This window comes from Homo sapiens, chromosome 9, assembly GCF_000001405.40.
Source record: "Homo sapiens chromosome 9, GRCh38.p14 Primary Assembly".
NCBI lineage: Eukaryota > Metazoa > Chordata > Mammalia > Primates > Hominidae > Homo > Homo sapiens.
The window spans coordinates 107,717,239-107,735,419 of NC_000009.12; the positions used below are offsets into that span (position 1 = coordinate 107,717,239).

Sequence of the window (18,181 nt, forward strand, 5' to 3'; positions counted from 1 at the left end):
AAGGTCCAGCGCTGGAGATGTAAAGGCCCAGTGCTGGAGATGAAAGGGCCCAGCGCTGGAGATGAAAGGGCCCAGTGCTGGAGATGTGAAGGCCCAGTGCATAAAGGTCATAATATACTGTCTGAAAGGAGATAATGATGTAGTAAGAACCAAACTGGAAGGGGATAATGGTAGGGGAGTGTGATCAATGCATTAATCAAGGTATGTGCTGGGCTGGCAGGTACTGGCTGATTCTAGTACATCACAAAGAGCCATCACTGAAGGTTTGGAGGAGGCAGAGAACTTAGAACTGGCTCAGAAGGATGAGTTGGGGTTCATCAGGAAGTCTGGTGCTCCCTGCGGAGACAGCAGTAGACACAAGGGCTTGCCAAGATGCAGTATCTTCCAGAAGCCACTCTAAGACTGTAGGCAGAGGAGCCCTGTGACCAGGTTAGAGAGGGCAGCGAGTCTACCGCCCAGAGAAACCACTGGAAGTAGAGAAAACCAGAGGCAGGAAGCTCAGCTGGCTGAGGTAAGGAAATCAGAAGATAAGCCCCACATCTGAGGCCCTCACCAGAGCAATAACTATAATAGTTTATGTTTAACTTGATCAGTGCTGCCAAGAGCTTAACTTAGATGAATTGACTGAACCTTCACAGCAATTCTTTAAGGCCAGAGACTACCTGCTTAGGGTCACAGAGCTAGCGCATGAAGGCTCTGCGTCTTAAGTATTGTCTATGTGAACTTGATGTTCAAAACCTTGCTCTAAGTGTCTAAACCACTAGTGCACCAGAGTAGATGGGAAGGCTGGGGACAGGCAGAGAGTGCCCTCTATCCCCATAGTCCCTATGGTTGCCAGCTCCTGGGTCTACCCTGGCTTGGAAGTCAGACACCTGCCTATGTCTTTCAGGCTTTGACACCTCTGCAAAGAGTCTTTTGTTCCCATGGCAGTTTTGTCTTCTTTCAGAAGACTGTGCTCCCCATCATGCCCACCAGCGCCGTGCTGTTCCCCGCTGCACTTCTTGTGCTGTAAGTCCATTCTCACATCCCCCTGATGCTTGCGTGGATGCCCCATGTCAGCCTAAGAAATCCTGCACCTTCTCCCCTGCCTCCTAACTAGCCTCTCGCAATGTCTCTCCAGCTGCGGAATCTCCCATATGTCAAAAAACACCTCTGGCTGGGCGCAGTGGCTCACGCTTGTAATCCCAGCACTTTGGGAGGCCGAGGCAGGCGGATCGCAAGGTCAGGAGTTCGAGACCAGCCTGGCCAACATAGTGAAACCCCGTCTCTACTAAAAATACAAAAATTAGCCAGGCATGGTATTGCACGCCTATAGTCCCAGCTACTCGGGAGGCTGAGGCAGGAGAATCGCTTTAACCCAAGAGGCAGAGGTTGTGGTGAGCCAAGATCGTGCCACTGTACTCCAGCCTGGGTGACAGAGCGAGACTCTGTCTCTAAAAACAAACAAACAAAAAACAAAAACATTTCCTGTGCTTCTTGTTTGCTAAGTGAGTCCTGCTCCACTCAAGTCGCAAAAAGGGGTAATTGGAACTGAATGCTGCATTAGAATTAATAACAAGAGTCAGCCCCAGCTTTGGGCCTGCCCTCAGTGGGGTCCATGCTTTAGAGAAGAATGGGAGGAGCATGGTGAAGAGGAGTCCTGGACACAGGGGCTTTGCAGAGGGAAACGCTCCAGAGACAGCCTGTGTCCCAAAGCTGACAGAGCACCAGGCCTGATACCTGGAGTTGAGCATCATAATGGCACAGAGCAACATGACCCAGGTGTGAAGGTGTGGGCTTGCCAGATGATGTGACACAAGGTCACATATTTAACAATCATACAGAACTTACTATGTACCAGGCACTGTACTTAGTGCTTTGCAAACACCAACTCCTTCAAAATGATAACTCTAGCTGGGTGTGGTGGCTCACACCTGTAATCCCAGCACTTTGGGAGGCTGAGGTTGGGAGGAGGCAGATCATAAGGTCAGGAGTTTGAGACCAGTCTTGGCAACATGGTGAAATCCCATCTCTACTAAAAATACAAAAAATTAGCCAGGTATGGTGGTGGGAACCTGTAATCCAAGCTACTTGGGAGGCTGAGGCAGGAGAATCGCTTGAACCCAGGAGGTGGAGGTTGCTGTGAGCTGAGATTGCGCCACTGCACTCCATCCCGGGTGACAGTGTGAGACTCCATCTCAAAAAAAAAAATGATAACTCTATGAAGGTGATACTGTTACTATCCCCATTTCACAGGTAGGGAAACTGAGGCACAGGGACGTTAAAGAACTTGCCCCATGTCACACAGGCAGAAACAGGCAGAACGAAGAGTTAAACCTCAGCCCTCCAGCTGTAGTCTGTGCTCTTCACCGGTCACTCCAGGCTGCTTGTGGCTGCCTCTCCTGTATTGAATGCTCTCTTTGCAGGGTGCCAAGGGCTCCCTGGCTGGTGCCAACCCCCATTTAGAATATCTGGGAACCCCAAGCCCACTGTGGTCACTGGTTCTTTCTGATACAGTACAGAGTTCCAACTTCACTATCTGACCCAAATCTTCTCTCTGCTTCTCTCAAACTTTGGAACCTCGGACAAGTTAACTTTGTCTCCTGAGGCTTGTTTCTCCATCTCTAACCCAAGGATATCTCTGCTGCTTACTCAGGGTTATAGTGAGAATTAAAGGAGGCTATGGGCGTTTTTATTTTTATTTATTTTTTTTGAGATAGGGTCTTTCTCTGTTGTCCAGGCTGGAGTGCAGTAGCATGATCTTGGCTCACTACAGCCCCTGCCTTCTGGGTTCAAGCAATTCTCATACTTCAGCCTCCCAAGTAGCTGGGACTACAGGTGCATGCCACCACACCCAGCTAATTTTTGTATTTTTATTGGAGACAGGGTTTCACCATGTTGGCCAGGCTGGTCTCGAACTCCTGACCTCAGGTGATCTACCCATCTCGGCCTCCCAAAGTGCTGGGATTACAGGTGTGAGCCACCGCACCCGGCCTGCTATTCTGACTTTTAAAGTAGTAATAGCTCCTGTTGATTGGGTACCGATTGTGTGCAGTCCCTATCCTAGCACTTCATAGACACCAAGAACCCCATGACAACACCCTGTAAAGTCTTTCTACTACCCATGGGCTTCACTACCAATGAGCTCATTACATTTAGTGGCTCAGTTGTCGTTAGAGATCCAGCTCTAAGGGGGATTTAAGGATTCTAAGGGGGAATGGCCTATGAATGACGTTCTCACTCAAAGCATGGGTGAGAGATGTGAGATGACAGATGTGAGAATCCCTGAGGCATGTTTTTGTGCCCCTCACTGGATCCTAGTTAATGCTTCTCAGGCAAGGTAATTGAAAACATTTGTTTTTATCTGCCTGGATTTTTCTCTTTTCCTTTATCTTTCATTTTCCTCCATTCAAGTATGCAGAAGGTCTGTGCTTCCTTAGCTCAGAAGTTTATAGTAGGAGGCTTGTGATTGGAGGTTTGTGGCCTAAGCTAAGTGCTGAAAGACCAAAGTCCTGCAGGGTTCAGGTAGGTAAAATGTCAGCAAAACACAGAGGAAACAGGCTGGGTACAAACATAATAAATAATCGTGGAGGAGTTGGGGCAAACTGATGTGTGCATACTGTATCTGAAGGTACCAGCGATACCAGATCTTATAACTTTCCAAAGATGTCTGTGTGAAATGTCCTGGTCTAAAATTTTGGCAATTAATTCAGCTTGATTTTTTTAAGCCAGAGGCAGGTGAACACACTGCTGGAAAAAAAGGCTTACCCTGACAGTTGCAGGCAGTCCTCTGGTACAGCCAAGGAATACAGGGTTTGAGAGAAGAAGCATCCCTCAAATGAAAGAGAGATTCACTTAGGATATGGGGAGAGAAGGATGTCTCTAGGAACTCTTTTTCTTTTATTTTTATTTATTTATTTTTTGAGACAGAGTCTCACTCTGTCACCCAGGCTGGAGTGCAGTGGTACAATCTTGTGATTACTGCAACCTCTGCCTCCTGGGTTCAAGTGATTCTCCTTCCTCAGTCTCCCAAGTAGCTGGGATTACAGGCATGCGCCACCATACCCGACTTATTTTTGTATTTTTAGTAGAGACAGGGTTTCACCATGTTGGCCAGGCTGGTCTCGAACTCCTGACCACAGGTGATCCGCCCACCTTGCCCTCCCAAAGGACTAGGATAACAGGTGTGAGCCACCGCTCCTGGCCTCTAGGGACTCTTTGAGCAAAGGGACCTGCATCCTGATGGCAAGACCTGCACCCTGGGATATGGTAAGACCCTAGGGGGAAAAGCTACTTGGTTCACACAGGAGGCTGGCAACACATGTGGAGCTCCCCTATCCAGAGAAGCTTGTGTCACATATCAGGGTGTCAGGCTCAAAGGGGTCATGTGGACTGGACAGTGGCAGGGGTCGGGGTGGTCAGAGGAGAAATTGCTTTGGACAAACCACTTATAACCATAGAGAGCCTTCCTGAACACCTTAATACTAGGTGACACCCTGGAGTCACTGACGCAACCTTGGGAGAAGGAGAGATCCAAAGTAGGATTGAATTTCTTCTATTTTGGTAGGAAAGAGCTCAGGATCAAAGTTAAGTTGATTTGTGTAAAGTTACTATGCTCGTTCACTCCCATCTGAGTTTGTGGACTGAGATTCATACTCATGCTTCTGTTTCAGGGAGTGCCATGCCACATCCGTCTTCTTCCCCTGAGGGTGTGACTTTGCATGTCTCAAGCACTTAGCTCCTCTCATCCCCTGCCAATTAGTGCTTTATCTCTTCCCATTAGGTGCTGTTGACCTCCCCAGACTCTCGGGGTCCTTCAGCCATTTGCACAAGATTGTCCTTGAAGCACACCAGCCAGTGGCCGTTGACAGGACACTTCTCCCAAAAACTTGTGATGGTGGGCTTTTTCTTCTTCTTCTCCTTCTCCCTCTCCCTCTTTCTCCTTCTCTTCCTCCTCCTCCTCCTCTTCCCCCCCTCCTCTTCACTCCCCTTCCTCCTCCTCCTTCTCCTCCTTCTCCTTCTCTTTCTCCTTCTCCTCCTCCTCCTTCTTTTTTTTTATTGATGGAATCTTACTCTGTTGTCCAGGCTGGAGTGCAGTGGTGCGATCTCGGCTCACTGCAGTCTCTGCCTCCTGGGTTCAAGCAATTCTCCTGCCTCAGCCTCCCGAGTAGCTGGGACTATAGGTGCACACCACCACGCCCAGCTAATTCTTGTATTTTTAATAGAGACGGGGTTTCACCATGTTGGCCAGGATGGTCTTGATCTCCTGACTTTGTGATCTGCCCTGTTCTGCCTCCCAAAGTGCTGGGATTACAGGTGTGAGCCACCACTCCTGGCCCCTACTTCTTTTTCAAGACACTTTTTCAGAGGTCTCCATTAAATGACAGTCTCTTGAGGTTATTCTAAAAAGGTCTCAGAATAGAGGATCCAGACGAGGCTTCCATCATCATGGACTCCATGTCATGTATTGTTGATAACCCATGTCTTTCACTCTCTTTCCATAATTCAGCTATATTTTCAGAATGCCAAACATATCTTGGGCACAGTGCTAGAGGCTGGAGGCACACGCAGGAATAAGCCTACTCTTAGAGTTCTCAGTCTAGTCAGGGAGGCAGAAGCGTCAAGAGAGCGCTGTCGTGTACCGTGGTGAGAGTTGGTGATGGCGTGAGTGACGGGGGAAAGGGTAGAGGAGGAGGCAACAGGCTGCTCAGGTGTAGGAGGATGTGGTGAGCTTCTAAAGAAAAAAGAATAGAAGTTCTCATGCTGACAATGGCATTGACCTGGGTTGGAAGAGTTGGGAATATAGGGATGAGGCCAGAGGTGAATGCTTATAATTCCTCATAGAGGGACATGAAATAAAGCTGTTTGGAGATGTCAAACTACTTAGTGTGTGTGGCAGGGACAATGTGTGTGCTCACCAATCCCCTTTCCGTTTTCCTCTTAGATATATGGTTAGACTATACTTCCCATTCCCTCTCGTAGTTTGGCAGGACCACGTGACTAAGTTCTGGCCAGTGAAATGTGTGCAATCTCCCACACTGTATTTCCCCATCCTTTGGCCTAATGAAGAGAACTCCAAAGACGAAGATGATAGAACCAAAAATTGGATGGAGCCAGGGCCCCTGAATGACTGTGTGGAATAGAGACCCAGAGGACTCTAATGTGAGCTGGAAAAGTTTATTGCTTAGATCACTGTGATTTGGAGATTGTTTGTTCCTTCTGCTGTTCTATCAATGCTGCTACCGAATAAAGTCCAGGGAAGGAGGAGAAATTAGAGATTAGACTGAATAGGAAGATTGGGGGGGGCCAGGTTATGAAGGGCCATGAGTACCAGTCTAAGGAGTATGAATGGCCATGGCAAATTTTTTTTTCTCTTTCTTTCTTTCTCTCTCTTTCTTTCTTTCTTTCTTTTTTTTTTTTTTTTTTTTGATAATGTCTCATTCTGTTGCCCAGGCTGGATTGCAGTAGTGTGTGTGATTAAGACTCACTATAGCCTTGACCTCCCAGGCTCAAGTGAACCTTCTGCCTCAGCCTCCCAAGTAGCTGGGACCACAGGCATATGCTACCAGGCCCGGTTAATTTTTAAAAAAATTTAAGAGATGGGGTCTCACAATGTTGCCCAGGCTGGTCTTGAACTCCTGGACTTAGGCGGTCTTCCTAGGTTGGCCTCCCAAAATGCTAAGATTATAGGTGTGAGCTACCACAGTCGGCTGGCCATGGCAGATTTGCAAGCTTGTTTAGGGTAGAGTGGGAATATGAATGGTAGCGATGACAAGGCAGTTAGATTTGGCCACATTTCTCAGAGCATTAGCTCTTTTGGGTAGCAGTTATGGACATCTGGTTAAGAGAGCCTTATAGTTGAGAGGCTTAAAACCAGATTCTGTCAGCACCATGATGTACAACTTGAGGTCCTCATACCAAGTCAGAGCAAACCAAATCGACAATACTGTCAAGTATCTATTATGGTTTGAAAATTTTGTCCAATTCATTAGGTGGTATTCTTGACTACTGACATTCCCACAAGAAAGTCTACCTTCTGATGACCATTAATACTCTTAACATGCAAAGCAAACCAAAGACATTTTAGACACCTTTCAAAGAGGATTCCTGCTCGTCTTTGCCAATGGAGGGGGACTGTGGGGAGCCCCAGATGATTTATTTGACATATAAAAAGTCTAAAGAAAGGCAGGCAATAACAAATGCTGGCAAGGATGTGGAGAAAAGGGAACCCTTATGCCCTGTTGGTGGGAATGTAAATTAGCACAACTATGGGGAACAGTTTGGAGGTTCCTCAAAAAACTAAAAATTGAGCTACCATATGATCCAGCAGTCCCACTACTGGGTATATATCCAAAAGAAAGGAAATCAGGCTGTTGAAGAGATATCTGCACTCTCATGTTTGTTGCAGCACTGTTCACAATAGCCAAAATTTGGAGCAATGTAAGTGTCCATCAATAGATGAATGGACAAAGAAAATGTGGTACTTATACACAATGGAGTACTATTCAGCCATAAAAAGGAATTATATTCTGTCATTTGCAACAACATGGATGGAAATGGAAGGATTTATGTTAAGTGAAATAAACCAGACACAGAAAGACAAACATCACATGTTCTCACTTACTTTGGGATCTAAAAATCAAAACATTGAACTCATAAACATAGAGAGTAGAAGGTTGGTTACCAGAAGCTTGGAAGGGTAGTAGGGGTTGGAAAATGGTTAATGGATACAAAAAAAAATAGAAAGAATAAATAAGACCTACTATTTGATAGCACAACAGGTTGACTATAGTCAATAATAACTTAATTATATATTTTAAAATAACAATGTAATTGAATTGTTTGTAACACAAAGGAAAATGCTTGAGGGGATGAATACTCCATTCTTTATGATGTGCTTATTGCACATCACATGCCTGATTCAAAACATCTCACGTACCCCATAAATATATACACGCACTATGAACCCAGAAAAGTTAGAAATAAAATTCAAAAATTTGAAATACAAAAACAATTAATTAAAAATTAAAGTCTGAGGAAATTGGTGAACTGTTTCTAGCAAAGTTACATAAATGCACACAAGCAACTTGAGCAGTACAATATAAGTCCAAGGAAAATTTGGATCCTGTTGACTCATCAGATGTGAGGTGAACTTTGACTTTGGAAGAAATCCTTCCATTTGATACACGGTGCCGGGAAAGATCTAGGATGCTTCGGTATTAACAGTGTTTTCTGTGGTTGTATGCATAGCAACAAAGAGGTTAGGCCAAGGCAGATATTATTCACTTGAGAGAAACCAGATTAGAGGCAAGTGGGGGGCATGAGCAAATGTGTGTGTATGACCAGGGCTGGAATTGTTGTCTCATAGAGTGTCCATAAGCCAATGGGTATTTCACTGTTGCCTACAAAGCAGACCACAACTTTGTGCAAAAGAAATGCCACATCACGGGTGTCTATTTAGTGCAGGATTGTATTTTAGGTGTTTTTTTCTGATGCAAGAGCTATATTTCCACTACAGAGTAACAGGTGATATTCATATGGAACTGGCATATATTGTGTGCCCATGAGGTGCCAGGCTCCATGCTAGATGTTTTGCATCATTATCTTGTCTAGTTTTAACCAGAACTCTTTAGGGTAATGTGGTGCTATTTCCATTTCATTTATGTAGATATTGAGGTGTAATGAGAGTATGTGATTGCCTAAGGTCATCCAACTTGTGAGGGGTAGGGCCTGGAGGTAGAGTCTAGTTTTCCAATTTCAATTTCAAATCCACATTCTTTTTACTCCAGGCCTTTTTGTTGTTGTTGTTTCGTTTTGTTTTGAGACAGGGTCTCACTCTGTCTCCCAGGCTGGAGTGCAGTGGCAATCATAGCTCACTCTGGAGCCCCAAACTTTCAGGCTTAAGTGATCCTCCCATCTCAGCCTCTCTAGTAGCTGGTACTACAGGTGTGTGCCACCACGCCTGGCTAAGTTCTGATTTTTTGCAGCGACAGGGTTTCTTCATGTTGCCCTGGATAGGTTTTTTGTTTGTTTGTTTAAGACATCGATTAATTAGTAAATTTCTTCTCAAGAAAGCAGAATGTTTTGTTTACATATGCTGATAGATATTCTTACCTGCTAGATGTAGTACTGATAACTAGAAAATTTGTGGTTTCATCGCACACATTTTTGGAGATTGGTGTTACTCTCCTCTCCTCTCTTTTTTTGGTTTTTGTTTTGTTTTGTTCTGTTTTTCGAGATGGAGTCTCGCTCTATCACTCAGGCTGGAGTGCAGTGGTGTGATCTCAGCTCACTGCAAGCTCTGCTTCCTGGGTTCATGCCATTCTCCTGCCTCAGCCTCCCGAGTAGCTGGGACTACAGGTGCCTGCCACCACGCCTGGCTAATTTTTTTGTTTTTTTTTTAGTAGAGATGGGGTTTCACCGTGTTAGCCAGGATGGTCTCGATCTCCTGACCTCGTGATCTGCCCGCCTTGGCCTCCCAAAGTGCTGGGATTACAGGTGTGAACCACTGTGCCTGGCCTTTTTTTTTTTTGAGATGGAGTCTCGCTCTGTCACCCAGGCTGGAGTGCAGTGGCACGATCTCAGCTCACCTCAACCTCCGCCTCCCAGGTTCAAGCGATTCGCCTAGCTCAGCCTCCTGAGTAGCTAGCTGGGATTACAGGTGCGCACCACCATGCCCGGCTAATTTTTGTATTTTTAGTAGATACTGGGTTTCACTATGTTGGCCAGGCTGATCTCAAACTCCTGACCTTGTGATCCGCCCACCTCGGCCTCTCAAAGTGCTTGAATTACAGGCATGAGCCACCATGCCTGGACTTTTTCTTTCTCTTTCACTTCTCTTCCATCCCCTTTTCTTTCTTGTTTTCTTCTCTTCTCTCCTTCTTTCCTCTCCTTTTTCTCTTTCCTCCCTTTCCTTCTCTTTCCCATTTCCCGTTTCCCTTTCTTTCTCATCTCTGTATTTAATAATAAAGAAAACACTGAGGGTAACTCACTAAATTCATTTCATGACTCATGAATGAGCTAAACCAATAGTCTAAAAATGCTGCTTAGAGAGAAGTTTCCAGAGCTTCTGTGAGTTTCTCTGGCTCCTGCATTCTCCCAACGCCTGTTGTTTTGGTCTTCCTTGGATTCTGTGAGCAACACTGAATCCTTCCTGTAAGCTGCCCCCACTCCAGTCCTCCATTGTTCTGTGCCTGAACAAGAAGGTCGGTTCACATTGCTTGTAACTGAGGAACCTTAGCTATCAACTGACATCCCTTGTCAACATTTTCTCTCTGCCCCTTACTCCATTCTCCCTCAGATTGTAGGCAGATTCATTCAACAGCATTGCCAGTGCTTTTGGCTCCTAGAACAGTAATTAGGCTCTGGGTTCCTGAGGCCACTTAGTCATCACTACAAGAAATAAAAAATAGCCGAGCATGGTGGCTCATGCCTGTAGTCCCAGCTACTTGGGAGGCTAAGATGGGAGGATCTGCTTGAGCCTAGGAGTTCAAGGCTGCAGTGAGCTATGGTCATGCCGCTGCACTCCAGTGCTTGAGTGTTGTATCCACCTGGAGACAAAAAGGGGCTTTTAAAACATTAGCACAGAAGCACCATGCTAGCAATAGTGCCGGGATGAGTTGCAGGAGGTTAGAAGGTATCATCAGTGCTGCTGATGGAGAAGGGAGTGCACAGCTAGCAGGCCCCTCTCTGGATCTGGTTGGTACTGTGTGTCAGGGAGCTAAAGGGGACTCTACTAGATTTCAGGGTGATATGCACTCATCCTATGCCACCTCTTCTTCTGACTAGGGTCATGACCTAAGGTAACATGAAAAACTTGGAAATGAGACATTTTAAAAATAATATTTTAGCCAGGCATGGTGGGGTGTGCCTGTAGTCCCAGTTACTTGGGAGGCTGAGGCAGGAGAATCACTTGAGCCCAGGAGTTTGAGGCCATGAGCTATGATTGTGCCACTGTACTCCAGCCTGGGCAACGTAGCCACAGTAAGACCTATATCTGAAACAAAACAAAATGAAAAACCAGGAATGTTTTGCAGAATATCGTCATTTTAAAATGCTTTCTCATTCATTGTTTTGACATTTCTTTTGCTCTGACCTCTTAACAGAGTAAAAAAAAAAAAAACTGGGACCAGGGAGATTATACTTAGGGAGAAGGCGGCAAAGAATGATGCGAAGATCTAGACAGGATTTGAGATCTAACAGACAGACCTAGTTTTCAGTTTTATTGTTCGTCATTCATTTATTCCGTAGGCTTCTTATTTGTAAGCTATTATGTGCTAAAAATGGTGCTGGGCAGGGTTGGTGTCATGGGCACATGACTTCTGCAGTTACACAGGACTCCACATGTGGGGGGTTCCTGCATGTGCTTTTTTTGCATTTTTAAAACTGATATATCATAGTTGTACTTATTTTGGGGGTACATGTGGTATTTTGATACATGCATACAATGTGTAACAATCAACTTAAGGTAATTAGGACATCCATGATTTCAAATGTTTAACTTTTCTTTGTGTTGAGAGCATTACAATTCTTCACTTCTAGCTATTTTGGAATATACCATTGTTCCAAACTATTGTTAACTATAACTTCCCTACTGCACTGTCGAATATTAGAAGTTATTCATTCTATCTAATTTTTTTTTTTTTTGAGATGGAGTCTCGCTTTGTCACCCAGGCTGGAGTTCAGTGGCACAATCTCGGCTCACTGCAACCCCCGTCTCCTGGGTTCAAGCGACTCTCCCATCTCAGCCTCCTGAGTAGTTGGGATTATAGGCATGCACCACCATGCCCAGCTAATATTTGTATTTTTAGTGGAGACAGGGTTTCACCATATTGGCCAGGCTGGTCTCAAACTCCTGACCTCAAATGATCTGGCTGTGTCAGTCTCCCAAAGTGCTGGAATTACAGACCTGAGCCAACACTTCTGGACTATCTAATTGTATTATTATTATTATTATTTTCATAGACGGAGTCTTGCTCTGTCACGCAGGCTGGAGTGCAGTGGCACAATCTCGGCTCACTGTAACCTCCACCTCCCGGGTTCAAGCAATTCTTCTGCCTCAGCCTCCTGAGTAGCTGGGATTACAGGTGCCCACCACTGTGCCCAGCTAATTTTTGTATTTTCACTAGAGATGGGGTTTCACCATGTTGGCCAGGCTGGTCTCGAACTCCTGACTTCAGGTTATCCACCCGCCCTGGCCTCCCAAAGTGCTGGGATTACAGGTGTGAGCCACTGCGCCCAGCCTCTAATTGTATTTTTATACCCATTAAACAATTTCTCGTCTTCCCCCTCCCAACACACATCACCCTTCCCAGCCTCTGGTAACCACCATTCTACTCTCCACCTCCATGAGATCCACTTTTTTGTCTCAAACATATGTGTGAGAACATGCAATATTTGTTTTTCTGTATCGGGCTTATTTCACTTAACATGATGACCTGCAGTTCCATCCATGTTGTTGCAAGTGACAGGATATCATTTCCTTTTTAAGGATGAGTAATATTCCATTGTGTATATGTAGCACATTTACTTCAACCATTCATCTGTTGATGGACACTTGCGTGGATTTTACATCTTGGCTATTGTGAACAGTGCTGCGATAAACATGGGAGCACAGCTATCTCTCAGAAGGTCCCAGGCTTGATTTAATGATCTACTGTTACCATCTTGAAATTCTTAGTAATTGTTAGACAAGAAACCCTGCATTTCCACTGGGCATGGTGGCTCATGCCTGTAATTCTAGCACTTTGGAAGGCCAAAGCTGGAGGATTGCTTGATCTCAGGAGTTAGAGACCAGCCTGAGCAACACAGTGAGACCCCATCTCTACGAGAAATAAAAAATAGCCACGCATGGTGTGGCTTATGTCTGTAGACCCAGCTAGTTGGGAGGCTGAGATGGGAGGATCTGCTTGAGACTAAGAGTTCAAGGCTGCACTGAGCTATGATCATGCCATTGCACTCCAGCCTGGGTGTCAAACAAGATCCTTTCTAAAAAAAGCAAAACGAAACAAAACAAAACAAAAACAGCCCTGAAACCCTGTATTTTCATTTTGCATTAAGGCCTACAAATTATGTAGCTGGTCCTGATGCCTGATGCTAGGTATAGAATCCGGAGCTGAGCAAAAACCAGCCATGGTCCTTGCTCTAGCATAGAGTATAGTATAGGAGGTTGACTACCTGGGACAACTCACTTTGTGATTCTCAGTTTTCTCATCTGTAAAATGGAGATAGTCATTCCAACTTCAAAGAGCTGCTGTGAGCACTAGAGATGATTGTGTAAAGTGTCCAGCTCAGTGGCTGGCATGATGTGCTCAGTGGGCATGAGATGCAGAGTCCCCATTTCCCTGGTCTCTCAAGGGAGGTCAAAGCTGGTATTTTTCCTGCTACCTTGCTCTCATTGACCCACCTAAATACTCTTCCATCTGTTACACACTTGGTGTCTTTTGGGGATCAACCTCTTTGTTAGAAGCCTTTGTCTTCCACTCTGCAGTTGGGCACACCCAGGATCCCAAAGCCTGCCAAGGCTTTCCCACTGGGAAGCTAGCATTCCTCCAGTGCTTTGGATTTGCCATGGCAGTGCCCTAATGGACCCAAGGCTGATTCTTCAGGCTGGTTGAAGCCCTGGAGGCCCCCATAAACCTGAGTGTCATGAACAGATGGCAGCTTCAGATTCATAGCATCTGTTGGTGTCAAATGTTAGGAAGAGCACAGCCAATCAATTATCAGAGCGTCCTTGTTGAACAAGGCTCTGGTCACTGCTGGAAACCATACCAGAGCTGTTGGTAGTGCCAGGCATTTTTCAAGGAAACACAAGCAATTTAAGATAATCCATGGGTGGAATTTTCATCCCGGGCTCCCCAGTTTCCCTGAAGAACTGTGTGCAGTTGCCAAATGATAGTGAAATAAGCAGTTTGTGATTTCCTTTGAGAAACAAATGCCTTGTGATGGGAGTTAGAGTGAGTCCATCATAATACGTAAGAGAAGAGGGACAGCGTGATTCAAAAGCAAGAGCATGGATTTTGAAGTCAGAAAATCTGGGCTCAAGTCCCATCCTCGAGTTTTAGTAGCTGTGTGTCATTAGACAAGTTACTTGCCCTCTCTGATCCGCAAGATCCCTAGCTATAAAATAGAAATAATACTAGTTACCTTCCAACGCTGTATGTAAAGGAAATAGTACAGGCAATATCATGGAACTCTAATTATCAACATTGCTTTCCTTTCCTGTTCTGTTTTGGGTATCCACTGGCTGAAAGGCTGGGAGGTAGATTCTAAAAATGAAGCTAAGAGGCTACTTTGTATGGGTCATGCTTATGCCAGTTTCCTGATGGCCCATTTCCATGGGCAATTGGCACTGTTATTACATCAATACTTGTCACTCTAACATGGTACAGGTTCACCTCCAGCTCAGCAGCTCTCTGGCCGAGTGCTAGCTCACCCTGGGGATTCTCAGATCTCAGCACTGACACATGTCTTCATGGTGAAGACAGACTGATTGTGTGCCTAAAGGTAGACAGTTGTTTCTCTGCTTGAGGTCTTTTGACTATGCAGATCATGTTGTCCAAGGCCAGCATTACTGCCTCCTAACAGGTCTCTTGCGGATAATCCAGAATTATCATCTTCAGTCTACTCTACCTTATTCCCTTCTTCGTTCTCTGTCTCATCATTCATATATTCATTCTCTGAATGAGGATTGTAAGCTAGCACTGGGAACACAATAGTAGACAAGACTGGGAGCAGCCATGCCTTCAGGGAGTATCCAATCCAGAGGAGGAGACACAGTGGCTGAGGAGTGCAGCTGCAGGCTGTGGGTGCTTGAGGAAAGCAGGTGCACACCAGGCTGAGGGTGGGAGGAAGTGTCGGAAAAGGTGCCTTTCGAGAGCCAGAATTGACAAGTAGCCACCCAGTGGACCTGTGTTTCTTCTGGCTTCTGAGGGTCCTCCTATTTAGAATGTGAGTGACTGTGTCTTGTGTCATCATTCTGTCCATGTTTATCTCTTCAAGTAGACTAAGAATCCTGTCAGAGCAGGAACTGCATCTTCCTCAAGTAGCTATCCCTCCATGCTAATGTTAAATGATTAGGAATCAATCAATCAATCAATGAATTAGTTAAGTAGTTGAAATGAGCATAGGGCGATTTTGGGTGGAGTCACCATCGTGAATAAATATCCCTGTGGTACTTAGGAGAAGGATTCACGTACACACTTCTTGTACGTGAATTTGTACTTCTTGTACTTAAATTTTTGCTAGTGCCAATTCAGGCAAAGCATATTTTGTAGCTTCTTAATTGTAGTGAGCTGAAACTAACAGCAACAAAAAAGCAACACAAATAATAACTACTATCTAGTGAGAACTTACTATATATCAGGGATTGTACCAAGTCCTTCTCATGTTTACCCATTTAATTCTCAGACTGTCTTTATGATACAGTGACAATTATTATCATGCCAATTTTACAGGAGGGGCAACTGATACATGGAGAGGTTCAGTTGTCCCCATAACAAGTAAGTTTCAGAGCCGAGGTTTGAACTAATGCGGTCTCCCTCCCACATCAGAGTTCTGGACCTTGGCAGTGGATTATCTCACTTCCTGCACCCTGTCAAGGGTTAATTCTTGCCTTGTGCCAGGAGCACTGGCAGATTTCTGGCAGTGTGTATTCATCCCTTTGCGGCCTTGGCACAGATTCCCATTCCCTTCTGCTGACTGATCTCTCTTAAAAGAAAGTCATTTTTGACAGAGACATGCATGGAAAGGTCCAGTTTATATGAGTTTAGTCAAGGAATTTCCAGTCCTATTGACAACTGAGTTGTAGCTTGCAGGACCCCACTATTACTCAGGAAAAAGGCTGTGACCGAATGGTTTCTGTCCTCTCTGCCGGCCAGCATTTTGCAATGTTGGTAGGGCCAGGCATTATGACAGGGAATCCAGTTGTTGTTGTGCATATTTCTGAAGACACACGATTCTGACATCTGTAACCCTGCAGTCAGTCAAGGTTTGTACCAGCGTTGTAATCTGTTTCAGGGCTGCCAAATAGTTCTTTTGAAAAACTTACTGGCAGCTTACCCGTTTTCTGCTGTTGTGTTTTGAACAAGTGTTTCCCAAAACTATTTCCTAACAGCACCAAAGGGTTGGAGGAGGAAGGAAAATAAAACAGGATAGTAGAATTTACTGGGGAGGAAAAACACAAAGTGAAACCACCACCACCATTTACCAGCGTCACTCCTAAGCCTGGACTGTGGCTCTGTGCTCTTCATAATTTGAAATCAGAGCTTCTGAGCAGGCGCCCTTTCTCTGGCAAAGGTGATCTCTGTTTTTATTTAGGTTCAGAGAGGGGTTTCTCTTCACCCCTTTGGAAGTTTTCAGTTGGCAACTGTGACTTCCGGGAGAGAAGTTGCAGGCAGTGGATGATTGGAAAATACCCAGTCGTAGAAGAGGCCAGATGCAAAGATGTTGATGACCTGTGGGTTTCAAGGGCAGGAACTCCTTGTTCTGCATGGTGACTGGTGTCACGTGTGTCCAGCTCAGGCCTGCTGACGGAGCCCGCTGCTCATACCATCTTGAGTTGAACAGACTGGACCAGAGGCCACTGGAAGCACAGCTCCTAAAAAATACCAACAGTGATTTTTGGCTTTTTCCCAGCAACCAGGGAATCAGATTGGAGCTAGGTCAGGGTTGTGAGCACCCATTGCTCTCCTGCACATTGTCCTTCCTTTTGGGGTTTTGGAATACACATGGATATATTTAACTAGATATATTACATATATTTTAAAGATATATACTTAGCGTATATATTTAACATAGATATTTCTAGAATATGCATATTCTGAATATATGAAACATCTAAGCTTGACATTATTTGTACATAAAGTAAGTATAATATTTACATTTATCACTTTAAATTTTATACATAGAATGGTTATTTCTCAAGATATCTATATATCTATGTATTTCCAGCTCCTAAATATATTTATATATCTTTATATCTAAATACAGCGAAGATGGTTCATATAAATAGATATATACACACGTACACACACACTGTATATATATGTATATATGTATATATATGTATATATATATTTCTCCTTTTCCAGCTTTTCCAGTTACCTGCACACACACACACAGATACACACACACAGACGCACATAAGCATCTCGTATATAGAGTTTCCTCTTTCTTAAGCTGCCATACCTCAGCAGTCATTGGACACCCCCACATGGCTGTCAGGGCCAGCAAAGCTGTATCCCCTTGGAGAGGCAGAAGAAATTCACAGTCCCCTTGTAAAATCTCTCACTTGCCTTGCACTTAGGGGATGTCAAAAGTGTTCTCTCTCTGCCAGCTCCTCACTTTCCATACCCCCTTGAATCTCACATATTTACCACCTTGTTTTTTCCTTCTTTTTTTCTTTACAATTTTTCAACAGGGCCTTTATTTTCATCAAACGAGCATTTTAATGCGTAGTTCAAGAGAAATTCAGTCCGTATGTTTCAGATTCATTTACAGTTAAATCATCAGTAGTTTTGCAATCACAATTTGGCAGCCAGGAGATCTTGGAGGCTTTTTTTTTTTTTTTTTTTAGGCCCTTTGACTTGGAGTCAAGATGTGCTGTACAGTTTGGTGCTGAGTGCTCTGGACGCCCCAGCAGGGCCGGAGAAAATCTGCAGAGGCAGCAGCAACTGGTAGGTGGAGCAGGGGTTTGGGCCTGCGGACTGTGCTTGCTTCTTTACCATGTGCTCAGAGGCCACTTATCTGAAATGAACTGTGCATTGTCACCCTGGGCTCGGCTTCTCCATCTATAGACTAGGGTGTTACCTACACTTATGAACGTCTTTGTGCTTCATTCCTTTTATCTTGAAAATAGGCATAACAGTAATAGGCTATGAAGGATGCATAAGCTATTCAGGGAAAATGCTTAGTATTTGGCCTTGTAAGAGTTCTATACGGCTGGGCACGGTGGCTCACACCTGTAATCCCAGCACTTTGGGAGGCCAAGGTGGGGAGGATTGTTCGAGCACAGGAGTTTGAGACAGCCTGGGGAACATCGTGAGACTCCCATCTCTATAAAAAATAAAAAAATTAGCTAAGCATGCTGGCATGCACCTGTGGTCCCAGCTACTTGGGAGGCTGAGGTAGGAGGATCTCTTGAGCCCAGAAAGTAGAGGCTGTAGTGAGACCTGTTTGCACCACTGCACTCCAGCCGGGATGA

General features: G+C 44.9%; 2 long non-coding RNA genes across 3 annotated transcripts in view; one reads left to right on the forward strand and one right to left on the reverse strand.

Annotated features, from left to right (window-relative positions):
- Positions 1 to 16,124: 16,124 nt before the first annotated feature.
- On the reverse strand, positions 16,125 to 17,244 carry LOC124902242 (uncharacterized). Its single transcript, XR_007061719.1, has 2 exons — positions 17,167 to 17,244; positions 16,125 to 16,576 (listed from the first exon to the last, which is right to left on the reverse strand). It is a non-coding gene; the product is annotated as an uncharacterized LOC124902242 (long non-coding RNA).
- A 316-nt stretch (positions 17,245 to 17,560) lies between these two features.
- The window catches only part of LOC105376208 (uncharacterized), a 78,157-nt gene continuing 77,536 nt past the window's right edge, over positions 17,561 to 18,181 (forward strand). For both annotated transcript variants that reach the window (XR_930229.2, XR_930228.2), the window contains exon 1: positions 17,561 to 17,654. This is a non-coding gene — a long non-coding RNA (uncharacterized LOC105376208). The remainder of the gene's footprint in view (positions 17,655 to 18,181) is intronic.